Source organism: Homo sapiens, chromosome 20 (assembly GCF_000001405.40).
Source record: "Homo sapiens chromosome 20, GRCh38.p14 Primary Assembly".
NCBI lineage: Eukaryota > Metazoa > Chordata > Mammalia > Primates > Hominidae > Homo > Homo sapiens.
This window is the reverse complement of record NC_000020.11, coordinates 33,004,434-33,024,122: the sequence shown is the minus strand read 5'-3', so window position 1 is coordinate 33,024,122 and position 19,689 is coordinate 33,004,434. Positions and strand designations below refer to the sequence as shown.

Genomic DNA, 19,689 nt, shown 5'->3' with positions numbered 1-19,689 from the left:
ACCATCCAGCTCTGAGGCACCGTGCATTCCCCTCCTCAGTGGACCTTAGTCCCCACATCCATAAAATGGAACTCCAGTCTCTGCCTGCCTGATTCATGGGGCTCCTATGAGGTTCTAGTTACAAGACGGGGCAAGCTGCCAGGCAAGGGGCACTGTGCCCAAAGTGCCACCATGGTGCTCTAACTTCAGGCTCATCCATGCGGCTCTCCAGGGTCCTCTTTCAAAACAGGAGCTCCCCCAGGCAAAGAGGTGACACAGTCAATGGATGTCATCAACAGAGATGTCATCAACAGAGATGTGGTTATGTCTTCTTCTTCTCCCAGGCAGCGTTGGTGGCTCCAGGGACAGACAGAACCTGGAGACTGCATGTAGGGAACTGGCCTTAGGTATGCAAAGAGGTTGCTGGGCTTGGCTGAAAGTTGCAGCTCAAGAGAAGTTGTTTAATGCAAGAGGGCAGGTCTATACAGCCTGGAGGAGCAGTCTGCTCCCCGCTGGGGTGGGGCAGAGGAAGGAGGGGGGAGATGAGGGAAGAGGGAGGAGAAGAGGAGGAGGAAGGGAAAGGGCAGAAGTGAGGGAGGGAGACCCAGGCACTCAGGGAAGATAAAACAGCCCAGCTAAGCAGTCCAGCTTGTTGGTGATGACTAAGTATGGTTTTGCCTCAGTTTCCCCAGTGGCTTGAAATGAGAAATTCGCCTGAGCAGCGAGCTGGCCCACTCTCAGGCCTCCCAGTGGTCTTGCCTCAGCTCTGGTAGAAGAGTCCACTGGATATCACCACGTAGCCCTGAAGGGCAAAGGAAACCATGGACCAGGTCAGAGGAGGCACAGGCAGGACCCCAGCCGCCCCCTCAGCCTGGCTCTGAGTTCTGCTCTGCCATTCTTGCTGTGGGTTGTGAGGAGAGTCCTTTGCCTCTCTGGGCCTCAGTTTACCAGTCTGTCACTTTGGGGGTAGTAACAGCCTCCACCTCACAAGGTCACTGTGAGGATGCAGTGAGACCCCCATGGAAGGCACTGGTTGCTGCTCCGATGGTGGATACCACTGATGCTTTATGAATGGGAGCCCAGAACCATGGAGCATCTTCTCCAAGTCCAACTCTCTCCAGCAGACTCAGGCACCCCCCATAGCTCCCCTATGCTACACTCCACTGCAGGAGCATTCTGGAGGGCTGCCGATCATTCATTCATTCATTCAGTAAATCTTCATCAAGCCTCTACTATAAGCCAAGCCCTGTGGCAGGTGCTGGGGAGCCAGCAGAGAACAAGCCAGACCCAGTTCCTGCCCCAGTGTAGCTCGTAGCCTAGGGCTCTGTGGTCCAATAAGGCAGCCACAATTAGTGGCTATGGCTAATTAATTAGTCCTATGGCTAATTACATGGAAATTCATTAAAATGAAACAAAATAAAAAATTCAGGTCCACAGTTGCACTAGCCACATTTCAGTGCTCAGTAGCCACATGTACCTGTGGCTTATCATGGCTGCTGCTTTGGACAGTATAAATTTCCATCCTTGCAGAAAGTTCCATTGGTAACAGTACTGGACTAGGGACTTTTCACCTCTGACCCAGTGGCTGGGTCAAGTGCCAAGGTGGGTCAGCCACTAACTGCCTGTTTTGGGAAGTCCTAGGGAAATCCCCACAGAGCCCTGCTCCTCTGTGTACCAATCGTTCCTTCTCATGGGGGCGGATAATCACCCAAGTGCCTTGAGAGAGTAGTTCTTAAGGAACAAGGGCATCCTCCCTGGAATTACATCAGCAGGTCACACTCATCGGGTATGAACAGCACGTGAGACATTGGGCTTGAGAGACCTGGGTTCAGCTTTCTGTCCTAGGCATGTCTTGCTGACTGAATTTCCTTTTATATCCCAGGTACAGAAGAAAGCAGCTGTCGCATCTCACCCTGGGCAGTGTTGTGACTGAAGCTCACCCTGGGCCCACAATTTCAGGTCCAGGGAAAGCAATTTTAGAAAGTTCAGGAAGTTCCCTACTCCCATCCAGCCTGCACAGTTTGTCTACAAAGTGGAAGGAGTCCCACTGTCATCTGCTCCAGATATCAAAGGGGTTGTGCCCATTCCAGGGCACAGGATCACGGGACAAGTGAAGGCCCCAATTGTCCGAGTGTGGTCTGGTGTGATATTTTATGAGGACTAAAGGAAGGGTGAAACCTTTGACCCAGCATCTCTTGGCATCCTGGACTTTTCATTTCATTGCAGTTAAGGATTCATGGCATGGTTTTGGCAGCCACAGAGGGGGAGGGAGAGAGGTGACCCCCACCTCAATCAGTCCCTCTGAGTGAAGGAGGCCCCTCTGGTCACACCCAAAGGCTCTCACCTCATAGACAAAGATCTCAGGGGCGACATAGTGGAGGTTGACCACACCAGGGAGGGCAATTCCCATGGCCAAGAGAGCTGCAGGCGAGAAAGAAGAAAGGATCGTCCCCTGGAGCCAGCCTGTGCTGAAGCCCTCATGTGCATCACAGCACTGAGTCCTCGCAGGCATCTGGAAGATGGATGCCATTATTGTTATACCCCTTTTACAGAAGGGGAAGCTGGGGCTCAGAGAGAAAAAGGAACTTGGTGAAGATCACACAGCTGCTTGGTGAAGATCACACAGCTGCTACACAGATATGTGCCAAGGGGCATGCACACATGGGCTGCTAGACTCCAGAGGCCCCCTCTCACCCTGTGAGCCTGGGAGGTGGGAAGGGGGCTGGGATTGAGCACCGAGCAGATGTGGGATATGGAGGGGGCCAGAGGGGCCCTGCTGGGGTGGAGGGCAGGGCTTACCATTGAGATGGTCCAGCAGGGGCTTCTCAAAAACGGTGCCCATCAGTGTGCGCACCTGATCTGTCTGTGGCCACGGAGCCAGGGAGATGGGCCCGTCCCAGCCGAGGGGCCAGGAGAGATGGACAGTCAGGCACATACATAAATATACACAGAGACAGACAGACAACAGATGGATGGCAGAGGCTGAGGCACAGGGAGGAAGGCAGATCACCCATGTCCTGGGTTCAAGTGGGGCCCAGAAATACCCCCATGGTTGGCTCAGCCTTCGCAGGATCACACCCAGCAGCAGTGCTCACCGGAGTGGAGGCTGAGGGACAGGCACTGACTGTGGACACTCACGCACTGTGTGACCAACAGGTGGACTGGCCAGCAGACTGCCTGACGCAGATGACCGACAGACAGACAGACTGACGGCTGGGTAGAAGGGGGGCATGTTGATGGCATGCCGGCTGACAAGTGGATGTATGGTGGCCGATGACCCAATCACATCACCTGGCTGAAGGGACAGCTGACATTCTTTGTCCAACTGACCAATGGACTTTTGGGGTGAGGGCTGGGTGACAAGTCATCGACTGCCAGGCAGAGTATCAGGCAGATGGACTGACTGGCCACTGTCCCCAAGCAGCCCGGGGAAGCCTGACTATAGTGGCACACACAGGCACACGGGTCAGCACATGTACACAGCCATCTCTTCCCCAGGCTCAAGGTGTGCCCTACCCAGGACGGGGGTTTCTAGAGGCCCCAGCCCCACACTCACATCAATGAAGCCCACGTTGGAGGAGGCCACCGTGAGCTGGACATCCCTGAAAGAGAAGCAGGAGAATTCAGGACAGGGTCTGGCACCTCCCTACGCCCAGGCTCCCTGGCTAACACCGTGACCCAGGGTGGTGATGGACCCATGGCACAGAAGAACACACTGAGGCTGCTGGGTCCAGGTGGGCTCGTTTACCCCAGCACAGACGTGGTCCCCTGAAGCTTCACCTTGGACACAGAGAGCTGGAGTCTCAAGTTCACTACCTGGGCACATGGGGAGAGCAGGGTCAGAGGGCACAGAGCCATGAGGGGGGCACCAGCCACCCAGCCTCCCACCCATCCCCCGACTCATTCAGGCAGCAGGTGTCTGTGGAGCCCCTGCTATGTGCCAGGCCCCACGCTGAATGTTGGCAACAACACAGTGTGAACAAGGCAGACCAGCTCCCTGCCCTGGGAACGAGCCGCCAGCTGTGGGAGAGGGGGACCGTAACCACAGTAACCAGGCGCCATCCTTTCAGAGAGTGGCAGGGGCCACAAATGCAGAGAGGAGGTGCCGAGAAGGCTGATGGGGACCTTCTTACTCAGGGTAGACCAGGAAGGCTGCAACATTTAAGCTGAGGCCTGGAAGAGGAGGGGGAGCTGGCCATGCCAAGAGCCAGGGTGGGAGAGTCCTAGGCCGAGGGCTCAGCACATGCAAAGGTCCTGGGGCGGGAGTGTCCTGACACATTCAAGGAACAGCGAAGACAATAGTGTGAGTAGAGCAAAGATGAGGGGACAGTGAAGCAGGGAGGGAGGTCTCTGTGACAGTTGCCTGCCTTCCGACCAGCCCCACCGCACTCACCACATCCAGGGAGAAGAGGGACTGGAAAGCCGAGTTGGAGGCTGTGGCCAGGACCTCCACGAAGGGCTGCAGCCGCAGGGTGGCGTTGTTTGTGTGGAGCATGGCCACAGGTGTGGCACCCAGCCGCACCTTGAGCACCACAGGCATGGGCTCGGGAAACTGGCGGGCCACCTGGGGAGGCAGAGGCGGAGGAGGCCCTGCTGAGGCAGCGGCTGGCGGGCTCTCTGGTCAGTCACTCCTCAAATGCTGATTGGGCCACCATGGCGCTGTATGTGACTGGGCACAGAGGTGGGTCCCCCCTCTGTGTAAGCCAGTGGGTCTTACAGGCCGCTGGACAAGACGAGGGGGTTGGATCTCCCCGAGGAGGTGACCTTGAGCTTGGTCTTGAAGAAGGATAAGGGAAAGGGAGGAGAAAGACATTCCAAACAGCAGACACTGCTCAAGCAAAGGCACAGAGAGACAGAGTGTGATGTCTGGGCAGAAGTTAGAGCCTCCCCAAGATGGAGGAGTAGGTTTAAGGACAGATGCTGAACTTCACTTGGGACAGATAAGAGCCAGCAGAGATCCCATGACCCAGAGAACCCCCACCCCAGTCCCTTGTCTCAGTCCCTGGAATGATCAGAAACATCACCGACCTCCGGGATGAGCCGGCCCAGAGCAGAGGTGTTCAGCAGGTTGTCATCCGACCTCTGAAATCAGCACCCCAGGCCACAACAGGTTTTAGGACAGCTGCTCCCCAAGACAGATCACCACTTTCCCCCTGAGCAATCGCTCCCCATAGCCCCCGTTTAACCCTTCCAACAGCCACCCTGTGGCGCCAGCTTCAGCGGCCCCACCCACCCATGATTTGGCCTCTGGGAGGTCTCCCTAGGCTGGGCCACAGGGAGCTCTTGCCCCACAGGCCCTGGGCTGCAGGTCGGGCCCTCACCAGCTGCCCTGTGATGTCCAGGTTGAGGGCACCGGCCTTCTGCAGCAGCAGGAGCGCAGAGTCAAACAGCTGCTGGGAGAGGCCCACGGTGGCCATGGAGCCCTCGGTACCCACATGCCTTGGCAACACAAAAGGGGTGGCATCCGTGGGCAGGATGATGGGCTTGCCCAGCAGGAAGAGAACAGCCTGTAGGGGTGGGAGGGGGAAGTGGGAGAAAAGCAGCAGGGCCTCAGCACGGAGGTGGCTCCATGGCAGAACCTGGACTCCTAGATGCCACTCCCTGCCCCCCAGCCCCTGCAAGATGCCACATGTGTAGTTCACACTTTCGCCTGTGTGGCATGCTCCCGGCTGGGACACTATTCCAGCTCCTCCTCTCCTTTCCCACTCCCCCGCTCCTTTAGGAATCTTCTGGAACACCAAGGACTCCAGAGGCAGCAAGCCCCCAGCTCTGGGCTGGCCAGGAGGCACTTACATTGACTTCCAGGGAAATGTAGTCACTGGTGACAGTGGGCACACTGACCATGGAATAGCGGATCTGGGACTCAGGACCCACGGGGTTGAGGCCTTCATGAAACCAGGGTAGAGAAGAAAAGATGGCATATTTAGCACTGCTCACCAACGTTTCATCTATCCAGAAAAGTTTATTTATTGTCTGATTACCCTGATTAGCCAGAGCCAGGCCACGAAACAAAAGAGGCAGAGCAAGCCTCTGAATAAGCAAATTTAAGTGGCAAAGTGCACATGGCCAGGATTGAGCTACTCACAGCCTGCTGACTCTTAGTTTAGGCACAATTCTAACAGGTATGCTTTCTGCTTTCCCCCTTGGTGGGAGACTAGTGACCCCAAGTTAGAAGGAAGGAGAAGGGCCCAGTCCAGGCACAAATATCCCCTGACAAAGGTGAGAAGCAACCACAGAAAAAGAAGAGAACTCTCACTTATCAAGGTCCAGATGCTTGACTTACAGCATCTCATTCAATCCTCGTTACAATCCTGTAGGGTTATTTTATACACACGTATGCACACATGCACACTCACACGTACGCACACACGCACACGCAGTCTGGTGAGGTTCAGTCTTGCCCAGGATTGTAATACCTGGTCAGTCTGACCCCAAAGCTATGCTCTTCCCACCTCATCACACTGTCTCCTATGAGAACTCCAAGAGCACACACCACTGGGGCCAGTTATGCAAGATCACAGAAGTCCAGCTTCCCTAACAGACCCTCCGAGCAGCCTTCAGGGAGGCATGGCTCAGAGCCCAACTCCTCTGAGCCTCAGAATACTCTTGCAGGGAAGTTTCAAAGGGCGAGGCCAGGGGTGGTGGCTCATGCCTGTGATCCCAGCACTTTGGGAGGCCGAGGCAAGAGCTGGTCTTTGGAATGATGAGTCTAGATTCTAGAATGATTCCAGATTCTAAGTGTCAATGGTCCTTGGATTCTCCAATGTTAAGACTCATGATTTCAAAATTGTATTTTGTTTTTCAGATTTTTTGATCTAAGATACACAGATTCTAGAATCAAAGACTTGGTTTTGGTTCTAGAATTTGGAGATTCCCAGATTTCATGAATAATTACACTGTTTTGGGAGCTCACAATTCAGTCACCCTACAACTGACTCTCCTAGAGGTCGACCGTGATCCAGAGTGGAGCCTTTGGAGGGTTCTAGGGGCTCCAGGGGGTCCCAGAGGCCCCAGCCCCCTCCCCTGGCTCCCAGATCTTACCAATTAAGGTGCCCAGGTGGACATTGACACCCTGCACCAGGTTGGAGATGCTCAGGCACAGCTGTGGTAAGACAGAGAGAAGGAGGCTGGGGTTAGGGCAGCCCTGGGGCTGGAGGGCACAAGGCTGAGAGGGGTCTAGAGTCCCTGTCTAGAAGCCTCCCCAACCCATACACCATGCCTGGAATCCCTTCCTCCACCCGCCAGTGGGCATCTCCTGGGACCCCTTCCAGGCACCGAAGAAACAGAGGAGAAGCAACCCAAAGGCTGATGGCAGTGTGAGCATAGGTCCCCAGGCACGGAAGAAAGAACAGAGGCCGTGGAGCCCAGCCCAGGTGGTCGTAGCTGGGCCTGAGCAACGGAGGCAGGGAATCTGCTGCAACGGGGCTGAGAGCTCAGTCTTGAAGCTCAGCTGGTGAGAGGGTGGTGCCCATGCAGAGGCAGGCAGTGATCAGCAAGCCAGACCAGGCCAAGCTTCAGATGCCAGGCCAGGGAGCTACAGAGGTTTTCCCTGGGCACCATGGGCAGCCAGAGAAGTACATTATGTTGGGATCAGTGTGATAGAAGATGGGGGCAGAGGAGGAACTGCAAGGCCAGGGGCACTCGCAGCCTTAACCAGGCAAGAGCTGGCGAGACTGGGCAGGGCGAGGTCGAGAGGAAGAGGAGAGGGTGGGTCTTCCTTCCTGCAGTGCTGCCTGAAGCCCCTTGCCCAGAAGAGGCTGGCTATGAGGGCAGCAGGGGGACTACAGGGAGAGGAAGAGGCTGGACCAACAGACAAAGTTAAGCTGTCCACTTGGGCATCCCGCAGGACTCTCAAGAGGAGCTGCCCCACCTTCACCCCTCGAGCCTCGGTTTTCTCATCTGTAAGGTGGGCATGTTGCAGTCGCCCTCTGGGGGGTGTGGGGTGGCATGCAGGAGGTTGACTTCGTCTCTACTACTGCCCCTTAAAGCAGTAGTGGGGTTGGGATGGGATAGGGCAGAGAGAAAATGAGCTCCCCCTGGGCAGTGGGACCCTAGCCCCTGGGCTACCCTCTCTCACCAAGTCAGCTCCACGCAGACAATGACAAGAGCTAAAATAGTAATAATAATAGCAGCACCCACTCTGCCAACCACTGTCCCGAACTCTTCTGAAATGTTAATGCATTTCATGCCTGCAACCACCCCACGGAGGAGGGGCTTTGTCTCTTTCAGTACAGATGTGGAACCAGGAGCAGAGACTGCACATCTGGAAAGGACCAGGACCCGTCCAGGCCACAGGTGGCCCCATGCCCACACCCTCGTTCACTCTCGTTCTGTCTTCTTTTCACAAACCACAGGCCCATGAACCCCACTCCATCCACCCTCTAGCATGAAATTGGGGCTGCCCTAAGAGGATGAACCTCCCCCTCCCCTCCAACCCCATAAACTCTGCCCTCATTTGTGCCTCCCCATCACTCCCCTGGACCTGGCACCAGCCTTTTCCCTGCCTTCATGGGGACCATGAAGGGGCGTCTTTTTTTTTTTTTTAATCCCAAGCAAAGTACCCCCTGCCTGAAATCCCACTCTTTCTTCACTGTGCCTTCTCGGTGAAGCCATGCCCTCCTTTCTGAGAAATCTGCAAGCCCTTTACCTTGTTACTCAAGACAGCTTTAATGTGCTTCTGCACCAGGACCAGCAGCGCGTGGGAGGTGCTGAGGGAGAAACACAGAAAGAGTTCCTGGGCTCCCAAACATATTAAGTCCCGTCACTCAGCACAGTCGCACGTCTGGGAAGAGAAGTCTCTATCCTCAGCCAGGAGGCCAATCAATTCCATTCGATGCCCTGCCATCTGCCAGACACAGTGCTGGCATAACTGGCCCCATAGATGAGGAAATTGAGTCTCAAAAGAGAGGGTCATTTATCTCAAGGTTTGGAAATGGCCAAGAATGTGGCGCGTGAGACAGAGAGGGCGTTGCAAAAGCCAGACTTGGCCATGACCTTGGCCAGCTGGCTTCGTGGCCACTCTAAGCCCAGTAAAGGTTGGGTTAGGGGGTAGAGCTGGGATCCTGGGTCTGCTTCATGCTTTGGGTCCAATTTTCTGTGACACACCTAATAAAATCCCTTCCTGACTCTGGGCCTCCGTTTCCCCTCTAAACAACTCAACAGTGCTCCATAGGCACCTATAGTTCCTTGATTTGCAAAAATGTCGATCCAAGCCACAGCCCAACCTTGCTGAACCAGCTCCCTGGGGGGGAGGTGGGAGGGTGGCCTCTGTGTTCCCAAAGCCTCTGGGCTTCCATTTCCCCTTCAATAAGCTGTGAGCATCCCCTGCCTGTAAGGACAGTGAGGGGTCGTGAGTCACACGTGGTGATCATGCGACACAAGTGTGAATGGGTTTACGCAGCCACATCCCTCTCTGGGGAGAAAGCTCAGTCTTGATGCATACGTTGCATTCTTCTAAGCCTCCAAGATGCTCAACACCTCAGCAAGCCCCGCTCACATTGGGAAGGTGCAGACATCGTCTAGGGGGATTTGCAAGCCATGGGATTAGTCGGGCTGCCTGGGCCTGAATGTGGTTACACCATTTGTCAGCCGGTGGCCTTAGGCAAGTCACTTAACTGCTCTGGGCCTCCATTTGCGCTCCTGTAAAATGCAGGAAATACTTAACACCTACCTGGTAGGATACTGTGAGGATCAAACGAAATGATCTATGGAAAGGGCCTGAACAATGCTCAGCACACATAAGTGCTCTGGAGGCGGGAGCTGCCATCAGCCTTTATGCAGAAGGGAGCGGCCTGGCCTGCGAGAGCTGGCTATTGGTGGGTCCCAGGCCCTCCCTGGCTTCCTTTCCCTCATCTCTGCTAGGAGGGGTGGGTCTCCGAGGTCCTCACAGCCAGTCTGATCCACCCAAAATCCCTCCCCAAAGAGTGTGCTAATAGCTAGTGTGTATTGTCAAGTGGTGCAGGGGATGGAAAGGTCCCAGGCTCTGGCCGCTCACTTGCTGTGTGACCTCAGGCATGCCTCTCCCCCTCTCTGAGCCTCAGTGTCCTCCGACATAAAACAAGCACAATAATGGGGGCCCCTGAGGCCCTTGTGGCCATTGGTTAAAGTCCTGAGTGGGCAGCTCAGGAAACAGCAGCACAGCTTTGGCATCTGGGATTCCTGTGACCCTGCCCTCACCAGGCACCCACCTGTTACTGCCATCAAACTCGTTGGCGTGGCCCGAGAATAAAGAGCAGGCAGAGATGCTGACCACAGGGGTCCTGATGGAGCTCTGGGTCACGCGGGTGTCAGCCAGCAGTTCCACAGGCAGCGTCAGCTCCAGGGGCTCTGGGGCGCTGTAGGGATGCCAGTCCTGAGCCCGAGCAGCACCGCCCAGCAGAGCCCACCATGACTGATGATAGATCTTACAAATTCCCCAGCCCCTGCCTGCCCTCCACTTGGCCCAGGCAGGCCCCCCACTCCCAGAGTGAGATGGCCCTACCTGGGGCAGGCCCACAGCCCCCAGCCTCAAGACTCCACTTGGGGTCATAGACGTTGCAGCAGTGGGTGTGAGCACTGGCTGTCCGGAGCCTCTCACTGTGAGACCCTGGGCCAGTCATTTACCATGCTGAGCCTCAGTTTCCTCTTCTGTAAAATGGACATAAGGTTGGTGGGACCTATTTCGCAGGGCTGTGCTGAGTTTCCTGTGAGATAATCATGTGAAAACACCCAGCACAGAGCCTGGCCCACAGGAAGCAATCATAAAATCATAGTGTCAGGGTAGAGAAGCTAGATAAGAGACCCCTCTGACTGCACAGCTCATGGTGTGAAAATTAAATGCAGTAACATACAAGATGCCAGGCACACAAAAATAACTCTGATCGTTATGCTTATTGAGCGTCTCTCATGTGCCTTGCCCTGGGAAAGAGAGGACAGTCATTATAATCACAGCAATGAACCCATTCACCAAACCGTCATTGGCACTTTACAGAAGTTCATCCCATTTTACAGATGAGGAAGCTGAGGGGGTAAACAAGCCAAGTGACTCTGCCCAGTTGCAGAGCTGTTGAGCAGGGTTCTCAGAAATGTTCTCACTATCTTGCTCCCCTCCAAGCGTGAGGGGAGAGAGAGCAACTGGACAGAGAGTCAAGAGGCCTGGATGAGGGCCCTGGAGGAGTTGCTACCCCCCGTCCCCTCACTGTATCCCTCGGAGCATCCCCAAAACCCTTCTCACCCCCTAACAAGGAGATCCGCTCACCGAAAGACCTTGAAAGTAAAATTAGCTGCTGCCAGCAGGCGCACTCCGAAACCAGCAATGAATTTCAGGTGGAGGCGGGGCACATGGACATTCAGAATCCGGATCCTGCAGGGTAGTAATCAAGGTGACAGAGTGGCCCCCATTAAACCATGGGATCAACTCTGGGGTGGGTGCTCTGAGCCATACCCACACGATGTTATAAAGAAGGGCTTTCTGACAATTGGAACCATGAGGTAAGGGGAAGATGGTGAGTTCTCCATCACCACGGGGCATGCAAACCAAGGTTGGACACCAGCTGGTAGGGAGAACATGCAGAGGGGCCCCCGCTTCGGGCAGGACTTGGGTGAGATGATTGCTCAGGTTTTTGACAGTTTCCGACCCCTGCCTGGAAAGTTGGGAAGGTTGGAAAAGAAAAACTTCAGGAACCACAGAAGGCAGAAATCCTCTCTCTGGTATCCTAGTCAATGTCTGCAGCTCGTAGCCTACAGCAACAGAAGCTCCCCCACTTCAAAGCTCCAAGCACTCTCCAGCTAACCTGTGATTTATTTTATTTCCTAAATGAAAGTCATTTCTGCACTGTACAGTTCAGGTCCCCGTACAGAAGCTGCGTCTGTGCACTCAACAATCCTGGGTTCAATCCTGTGTCTACAAACAAGAGCCCCGGGCACTGTTTTCAAACAGCCCCATGGTGTCCATTGTGTGGCCAGACCACAAGTGATTTAGGCATCTTTGGTCGCTGGGTATTTATGTCCAGTTCTCCACCTTTATTAACCATGCCATGAACTGCATTTCAGCTCTTCCTAAGGGATCTCAAACTGGTGGCCCCCAAGCCAGATGTTTTTTTCACCATCCACCCATTGTTCCAGGGTCTTAAAGTCTTAAATATTTTTTGTTTGTTTGTTTGTTTTTGTTTTTGTTTTTTTGTTTTGAGACAGAGTTTCATTCTTGTCGTCCAGGCTGGAGTACAATGGCACAATCTTGGCTCACTGCAACCTCTGCCTCCCAGGTTCAAGAGATTCTCCCACCTCAGCCTCCTGAGTAGCTGGGATTACAGGCACACGCCACCACTCCCAGCTAATTTTTGTATTTTTAGTTGAGATGGGGTTTCACCATGTTAGCCAGGCTGGTCTTGAACTCCTGATCTCAGGTGATCCACCCACCTCGGCCTCCCAAAGTGCTGGGATTACAGGCGTGGACCACTGCGCCTGGGCTTTAAATGTTTTTTCATTAGTTGCTATCATTCCAAATTTGATGGATTCTAGATGTATATCTTCTCTTGGAAACCCAAAGATCTGACAGTAGTGAGCCCTAGTTCCTATGTGGAAGGTGACTGTTGACCAGCCCAGGGGTGTCTAAGTTTGGGATGCTCCACATCCCTATGCCTTTAGTTTCTGCATTAAGCAGAGTAGGGTGGAGGTAAAGGAGGCTCAGATTCGTGTCTAAATTCAGTATCCAGTTTCTAGAAACAGAGGGTCCTGCCAGCCCTGGGGACCCAGGAGCCACTCTTAGCCCTTGAGGGCAGAAATTCACTAATTCAGAGGCACCAGGCCCGGCTTCTCCATCTTGGGTCCCTCTCTTAAATCATCTTGTGACCACTCACCTTGTGGGAGGGAGCACTCACCTTCAGTGGAGAGTGCTCATCTGGTGGACTGGAACACTTTGCCCCGTGGATAGGAGCATCTGCCCAGCAGGCAGGAGCACATGCCCGGTGGACTGAAGCACCCACCTGGCAAGCAGGAACACTCCACTTGGTGGCAGGAGCACCTTCTCTGGAGGAGGGGAGCACTCACCTGGTGGGCTGAAGCGCCTCTCCACTCCAGTCCAGGAAATGAGGGACAGTGACCTGCAGGGCCCGCTGGAGAGGGGCTTTCCCAATTTCAGACACTGTGGGGCCAGGGTAGAGTGAGGTCAGGGTGCCCTCGGGAACCACCAAGTAGCAAGAACACACTGCCTGCCATCTACCCTGCACCTTGGGCAGAGGGTACTCAGACTGGAAGGGGTAGGCTTACTCCAAGCATATGGGGAGGGCAGCTGACTCCCCATGAGCCCACCTTGGGTGCACCACTCGCATCAGGCTCTCTCCACCTGGGCATGACCTCCTTCTCCCACTCTGCCTCTCAAAATCCTGCTGATTTACCCCGTCCTTCAAAAGCAACAAAATCCTTTGCCCTCTTGCAAGGTTCCAACCAGATCCCATCTCCTCTGGGAGCCTTCCCTAAGTTCCCAAGCAGAAGGGGCATCTCCCAGTCATCCCTGGCCTGCTGTGGAGGCGCCCATGGGAGCAGAGGGGACGTCCCTTGGGAGGGGAGGGGACAGCCTCACCTGGGGGCTGAGGACTCAAGAGTCTCTCAGATCCTGGTTTCAAACCGCAGTGCTCACTGCTACTCACTGCCTGTGTGGCTACTCTGTGCCTCAGTTTCCCCATCTATACATCTGCAATGATTCTAATGGTATCTGTCACATAGGATCATTGTAAACACTCAGTGCACAGCAAATGCTAGCTTCTACCATTGCTATTTATTTTTGTAATAATAGCGGCAATCGTTTATGTTGTGATCCTGTAGTGCCAGGCCCTGTTCTGAGTGCTTTACTTTTCCTGTTATCGTGCCCAGTTTACAGAGAGGTGAGGGCACCTGGCCAGGGAAAGCTGGCTTTGGACCGAGGGACCTGGCTCCCGAGCCTCTGGGCATCCTCACTCACCTGTGCTGCTGAGCCCCAGAGAGGTGCTAATTAAGCAGGAGTTGAATTAGAATAAGAGGTGATGGTGCTGGAAGGGAGCTTCAAATGAGGAGTCAAGAGGCCTGCCCACTGCTCAGACTCACTGTGGGAACTTGAGGAGTCCCTGCACCTCTCTGGTTCTTAGTCTCCCCCAACAAGAAGCATAAAGGCGGTGGTTTCCATGTTTCCCAGCACCCCTCTCCCACCTAACCATCTGCAGCTGAGCTGGAACTCACACCCAGACCTCAGACTCCATCTACAGTGCTCCCTTGACGCAGGGTTTGAACTCTGGGGCTTGCAGGATGGGGTGGGGAGGACACTGGAAGTAGCCACTCAGCCCAGCCTGGGGAGCAATGCGTCCAGCGTGGGCCTCCAGCCAGATTTCTGCCAAAAACAAACACAGGCAGGCAAGCTGGGGAGGGCTCCCTGGGGACAAAGGAGGCTTGCACAGGATGGGCAGAGGGCAGGAAGGCGGCGGAGGGCGCGGGCCTCATGGCCCTACCTGCAGGCATCCATGAATGGCTCCATGTCATGCTCTGGCACGGATCACTGACCCCTTTCATTGCCTGCCCATCAGCCCGGATATGAGGTCCCGGAAGGCTGTGTTTACCCAGGGGTGGGGGAAACCTGCTACTTCCCTGAGCCACTGCTTCATGTCCTGGGCCACTGAAGGTCCCATCTACTGTCTGACCTGACTTTCTCACACTGTAATCTGAGTTTGGCCTTGGGGGAAACCGCTTCTGATCTCCTGGCTTTGGTGGGAAACCAAATTCTCACCGGGAGGCAACTCGAGGTGAATAAACATGTTTGTGCTGGCGTCCTGGACCTTGGCAATGTCTGTCCCTCCCTGGGGCTAAGTTTCTTCATTGTGCCCTCCTTAGGGGATTGGGGCAAGACTTGGAAGGATCTAGCAGCACAGCCGTAAGACAGAGCCCTCGCACAAGTGGGACCCAGAGAGCGGATGGTTCTCTCACGCTGAGCTCAGAAGGGATATAACTTTAGAACACTCCTTGCATCACGGTGCTAGACAGACCTCTCCCAAGAACACACGTGCGTGCACACACCACATACGCAAACGTGTACACCCAGGGTGAACAGCCGTACCTGTGCACACACATCCAGGCAGCATCATGGGCTTGCACCCTCCCCGACACTTAAGTACACACGTGGGCACAGCTCTATGAAATTTCAAACTCATAAGTAGACACACACAGGTAAAAATAGCCCCTCAAACCGACCTATGCCCACATCACCAAAGCATGTGAGCAAGTCACATGTGCACACTTGCACACTGGCCACATGACGTACTCCCCCCTCACGCATTTATGTAATAAGCATTTGTTGAGCAGCGCCATGTGTCAGGCACTGTCTGGGTGCCAGGGACACAACTTCCAATTAAAATCTGGGTCCTCATGGGCCTTTTGAGTTCACAGCTACGCACACACACTTAGGATTGCACACGCATGTACAGGCTCACAGACACTCACTGGGTAACACACCGCTTACCGTAGCTCAATGCTGCCTTGTTGAGTCGGACCACGGTGCCTGGCGTGGAGGCACCGACCACGGGCAGCAGCAGTGCCAGCAGCAGGCCCAGCCTACTTGCCCAAGCCATGGCTGCCCTGGCCGCTGCCCACAGGATCTGTGGGCTGGGGTAGAAATGAGCATCAGGGAGCTCAGCCAAAACAGCCCACCCCTGAGCCACCCGAACCCCACTCCAGCCTGGAGGGAACAAGCCCTGACTGGTGATCCCAGCCCTGCCCCAGGCCCACAGACATCAGTTTTTGCATCTCTGCATTGGGAACCATCACCTTGCCTTGCTTGCTTCATCAGGAATCATGGGGGAGTCCCTTCTGGAAATGACCCGCAATGCCCAGAGAAGAAATGGTCTTGCCTAGGGCCACACAGTGGACTGGGACCAGGTGCAGGACCCAAGCCATGGCATAGAAGGATGGTGAGACTCCCAAACGGGGAGACTGAGGGTAGTTTCCTGTCCCAAGAAGATGCCCAGGACTGTATCACCTGATGCCGGAGTCCAGCCCCGTGTGACAGCCAGCTTGGTGTCCAGCTGTCCACCAAATTCAGCCAGGGGAGGACCCAGGGTGGCTCCTGTCCTCATCCCCTCCTGGCCAGGTGGTAAATGGCCTAAGAGTAGGCCTCTCACATGGCCCCCATCCTCTCCTGACTCAGTCTGGCCAAATAGGCAGATCTGTGTCTGACTCAGGGAGAGGGAGCCAGGCAGGAGTGAGGGACTGCGGCTCAGGTGGGTCTGCTGAGACCCAGGATGGCGGCACTTGCCCAGGTCCTACAGCAAGGCCAGGGGTGGAAGGACCCTTCTGCAGAGGGTGGCTGGAGGTAGCATCCCCACTGAACAGATAGAGAAGCCAAGCCTCCTTGGAAGTGGTGTACCAGCCCAGCCCCATGCCTACCTCAGGTGGTTCCTGAGACAGGTGAACTCTCAGCCCCAGGGTAGCCCTCCTCTGCCCGAGGCAGGCAGATGCAGAGGCTACTTTATAAGGCTCCCAATGTGCAGAGTCCACTGGGAAGGGACCCAGGGAGCGGCGAGTTTGCTTGTGGTTGCAAGTGTTTTCCCTGCAAACATGGCCTTTGCCAAAGTGTCTCATCCCACATGTGCGCTGGGGCTGCCACGTAGCCAGTAGCCAGGCCCAGCTCCCAACCACTACAAGCCCCTGGGGCTAGGCAGCTATGGCCTTAGTGAGGGCCAGGAGATCTCTGGAAGGAAAGCTGCTTCTAGGAGGGTATCTTATCATGCCCAGCCAAGGCCTGGGAGGATGGGGCCCATGAGGACCCCATCCCCCCTCCCATAGGCAAGGGGATGGCTGCAATGACCCCTCAAGCCTGGTACCTCCAAGCTCTCTCGGAAACATGACCCTTTTAGGAGGGGCAGAAGGCTACCTGAGCACCATCCTCAGTCATTGACTGAGCCCTGACCCTGTCACATATTCACACACTGAGTCCTGACCCCAGTTACTGAGCTCTGACCCTGATCACATGCTGAGCCCTGATCCCAGTCACAAACTGAGCCCTAACTCAGAAGGGAACAGAAGAGAAAGTGTGCGTGACCTGTCCCCACAGCTTAACATCCCAGCCTCTCTCCAAATGCACATTCCACTCACAATGGATTAGTCCACGGTCTCTTTCCACATTACAAACGTCAGCCTCCGCCTTGGCTGGATGGGACCCAAGGAACTGTGTGTGCGCATGAAGGAATTTGCATATGCACATGTGTGGATGAGGGTTGTGTTGATACATGCATGTGAGTGTGTGTGCATAGTCACATGTACGGGGAAAATGTGTGCTCTTATGTGTGAGTGTGGACATGAAATGGGCACGTTGGCATCTTGGTTTATGGTGTTGTGTGTCTATTCACACAATCCAACAGGACCACAGAGGTGGGGAGTTTTGTGTACATGTATGCATGTGTGGGCTTGGCCTACTGAGTGTTTGTGGGTCTGTGAGTGTGTGGTGTTAGGTGCATGTGTGTATGCAAGTGGACTGTTTCCTGGGATGGGGAGGTACATGTATATATGTTCTTGTGTGTGTGCATATATGTGTGCACAGCAGGCGATGGCCTTTCCATTTTTCTTCATTGGCACAGGATGACTTGGGGCCTTTCCCCAACTCCAGGGCACTCTTTGACTCCCACTGACCCCACACCAGCCCAAATATCAGGCCCAGCTCCCAGGCCCACCCTGTGCTAGGCCTCCACCAGTGTCTACAAAGCTGACCACAGACACCATCAAGCCCTCCCCTGAGCAGCTGGAGCTCACTTGAACCAGCCCTGCCTCCCAACCAGTGCTCCCTTGCCCCTATTCTAGACGCAAAGAGGAATGAGAAGAGCCTGCTGTGAGCTCCCTGACACCCTGCTCCTGGCCTTGGTCTGTCCACCAATGCCCAAGACCGGCCCCTCCTGCGCCCTCACCATAGCTGATGCAAACAGCAGACTCAGTGGACAGAGGCGCAAATATTGACCAAACCCACTCTTGGTGTTTGCTGTTGGCCTGGACACTTCCTTTTCTTAAATATTTCCAGCACAAGAGCCATTTGGGTGACAGCCAGTAGACATAAAAGAGGGAGATTCTCACCAGCCCATCCCAGATCTCAACCGGCTCCTGACAGCAATGGCAAGCACCGTTTGGTGAGCACCTGCTATATGCAGAATGTTCTGCCAGCCACTTTGCCTGCATCCGCAGGGATGGGAGCTGGTTCTGCTCAGCCCTGTTTCCAGCACCTGGACCATACTAGGTGCATAAATATTTGTTGAATGAATAAATGAATGAGTATACATTTGAAAGACCCTTGTAACAATTGTAGTGGTGGCATTTCAGAGTTTCCCCTTCACTGAATATTCTCAGGGGTTTTGCATTGGTGTCCTGTTGCTGCAATAATGTATTATCACAAACTTAGTGACTTAAGACACAATTTATCATGTTACCATTCTGGAGGTCTGAAGTCCCAGATGGGTCTCCCTGGGCTAAAATCAAGGAAGTATTGGCAGGGCTGTGTTCCTTGCTGGAGGCTGTAGGAGAGGAATTGTCCACCTGCCTTTTCCAGCTTCTAGAAGCTGCCCTTATTCCTTGGCTCCTGGTCCCTTCCTCCATCTTCAAAGCCAGCATGTTGGGCTGAGTGCTTCTTGTGCTGCCATCTCCCTGCCTCCCTCTTCCATTTTTAAGGACCCTTGTCATTACATTGCACCCACATGGGTAATCTAGGGTATTCTTCCCATCTCAAGATCGACTGATTAGCAACTTAAATTGCTCTTCTAGTTTTAACTCCCTTTTGCCTTGTGACTTAACATATTTACATGTTCAGGTTTTAGTGTGTGGGCCTCTTTGAGGGACCATCGTACCACTTCCCATTGGTAATTAGCCTGCAATTTTAAGCAACTGCCACCAGGGGGCAAAAGTGAATTCATTTTAGCTTTGCTATCCAAATAGTCAAGCTCCCTACAGGCAGGGTGAACAGAAAAAACTTAGCCCGACATTTCCACTCGGTTATGCTTTTATTTTCCCCAGTAAAAAAGTAGAACTTTATTTTTGGACATAGAGTCTCACTCTGTTGCCCAGGCTGGGTGCAATGGCGCGATTTCTGCTCACGGCAACCTCTGCCGCCTCCCGAGTCAAGCAATTCTCAAGCCTCGGCCTCCCGAGTAGCTGGGATTACAGGCACACACCACCACACCCAGCCAATTTTTTGTATTTTTAGTAGAGAAGGGGTTTTGCCATGTTGCCCAGACAGGTCTCAAACTCCTGAGCTCAGGCAATCCACCCGCTTCTGCCTCTCAAAGTACTAGGATTACAGGCATCAACCACCGGGCCCAACAAAAAGTAGAACTTTATTAAAGCAACAACACATGCAATGTTATTTTGTGTTATGCACAATGTCCACCAGTGAGAAGCTCAGCATTACAAAATGCATTCAGGTGCAACCTAAGAAGGTGAAAAGCCTGGGAAGCTTGGGGCAGGAAGGGATCTAGGAAACAAGGAAAAGCATGGTTGGGTTACTGGAGCTTCAGCTCTCGCCCCTGTCCAGCTTCTGAGACCCCAGCATGGCCCTTCCTGTCTTGATGCCTCAATTTCCCCATCTTAAGAAAGGAAAGTGGGTCACAATGGCTTCCTCTGGGGGAGGTTCTAGGGCCAAGCTGGAGACTAGCCCCATCCCCTGCCCCTCCACCCACCTGCTCTGTGAGGTCACAATGCCAACTGCTCCACTGATCCTGGCAGATTCCACTTGGC

The 19,689-nt window shown here is 54.3% G+C and overlaps 1 protein-coding gene across 1 annotated transcript, besides 5 other annotated features; it reads right to left on the bottom strand.

Annotated features, from left to right (window-relative positions):
- BPIFB2 (BPI fold containing family B member 2) lies at nucleotides 420-16,419 on the bottom strand. The gene is made up of 16 exons (NM_025227.3): nucleotides 16,363-16,419; nucleotides 15,440-15,582; nucleotides 13,006-13,099; nucleotides 11,216-11,320; nucleotides 10,167-10,313; nucleotides 8,627-8,687; nucleotides 7,021-7,081; nucleotides 5,773-5,864; nucleotides 5,301-5,486; nucleotides 5,008-5,061; nucleotides 4,373-4,543; nucleotides 3,728-3,795; nucleotides 3,536-3,581; nucleotides 2,779-2,842; nucleotides 2,324-2,400; nucleotides 420-781 (listed from the first exon to the last, which is right to left on the bottom strand). Exons 2-16 carry the CDS (start codon nucleotides 15,546-15,548, stop codon nucleotides 740-742), a joined length of 1,377 nt encoding a protein of 458 aa, NP_079503.1. The 5' UTR covers nucleotides 15,549-15,582; nucleotides 16,363-16,419; the 3' UTR covers nucleotides 420-739.
- Nucleotides 5,373-5,968: an enhancer, noted in NCBI's record as "H3K4me1 hESC enhancer chr20:31605961-31606556 (GRCh37/hg19 assembly coordinates)". NCBI's record gives its function as "activates a minimal SCP1, AML or CMV promoter by ChIP-STARR-seq in primed H9 embryonic stem cells {active_cell/tissue: H9 hESC(primed)}" and the evidence as "EXISTENCE:reporter gene assay evidence [ECO:0000049][PMID:30033119]".
- Nucleotides 9,035-9,600: an enhancer, noted in NCBI's record as "NANOG-H3K4me1 hESC enhancer chr20:31602329-31602894 (GRCh37/hg19 assembly coordinates)". NCBI's record gives its function as "activates a minimal SCP1, AML or CMV promoter by ChIP-STARR-seq in naive and primed H9 embryonic stem cells {active_cell/tissue: H9 hESC(naive and primed)}" and the evidence as "EXISTENCE:reporter gene assay evidence [ECO:0000049][PMID:30033119]".
- Nucleotides 9,601-10,165: an enhancer, noted in NCBI's record as "NANOG-H3K4me1 hESC enhancer chr20:31601764-31602328 (GRCh37/hg19 assembly coordinates)". NCBI's record gives its function as "activates a minimal SCP1, AML or CMV promoter by ChIP-STARR-seq in naive and primed H9 embryonic stem cells {active_cell/tissue: H9 hESC(naive and primed)}" and the evidence as "EXISTENCE:reporter gene assay evidence [ECO:0000049][PMID:30033119]".
- Nucleotides 15,044-16,038: an enhancer, noted in NCBI's record as "H3K27ac-H3K4me1 hESC enhancer chr20:31595891-31596885 (GRCh37/hg19 assembly coordinates)". NCBI's record gives its function as "activates a minimal SCP1, AML or CMV promoter by ChIP-STARR-seq in primed H9 embryonic stem cells {active_cell/tissue: H9 hESC(primed)}" and the evidence as "EXISTENCE:reporter gene assay evidence [ECO:0000049][PMID:30033119]".
- Nucleotides 16,039-17,034: an enhancer, noted in NCBI's record as "H3K27ac-H3K4me1 hESC enhancer chr20:31594895-31595890 (GRCh37/hg19 assembly coordinates)". NCBI's record gives its function as "activates a minimal SCP1, AML or CMV promoter by ChIP-STARR-seq in naive H9 embryonic stem cells {active_cell/tissue: H9 hESC(naive)}" and the evidence as "EXISTENCE:reporter gene assay evidence [ECO:0000049][PMID:30033119]".

What these genes read in the sequence shown, in the direction of transcription:
- BPIFB2 (NM_025227.3), bottom strand. Translation starts at nt 15,548, where the DNA reads ATGGCTTGGGCAAGTAGGCTGGGCCTGCTGCTGGCACTGCTGCTGCCC. An exon ending in AAGCTGTCTTGAGTAACAAG is followed by an intron (nt 7,082 to 8,626) that starts GTAAAGGGCTTG and finishes GTCTTACCACAG; the next exon opens with CTGTGCCTGAGCATCTCCAA. An exon ending in TGGGCCGGCTCATCCCGGAG is followed by an intron (nt 4,544 to 5,007) that starts GTCGGTGATGTT and finishes CTGCCTCCCCAG; the next exon opens with GTGGCCCGCCAGTTTCCCGA.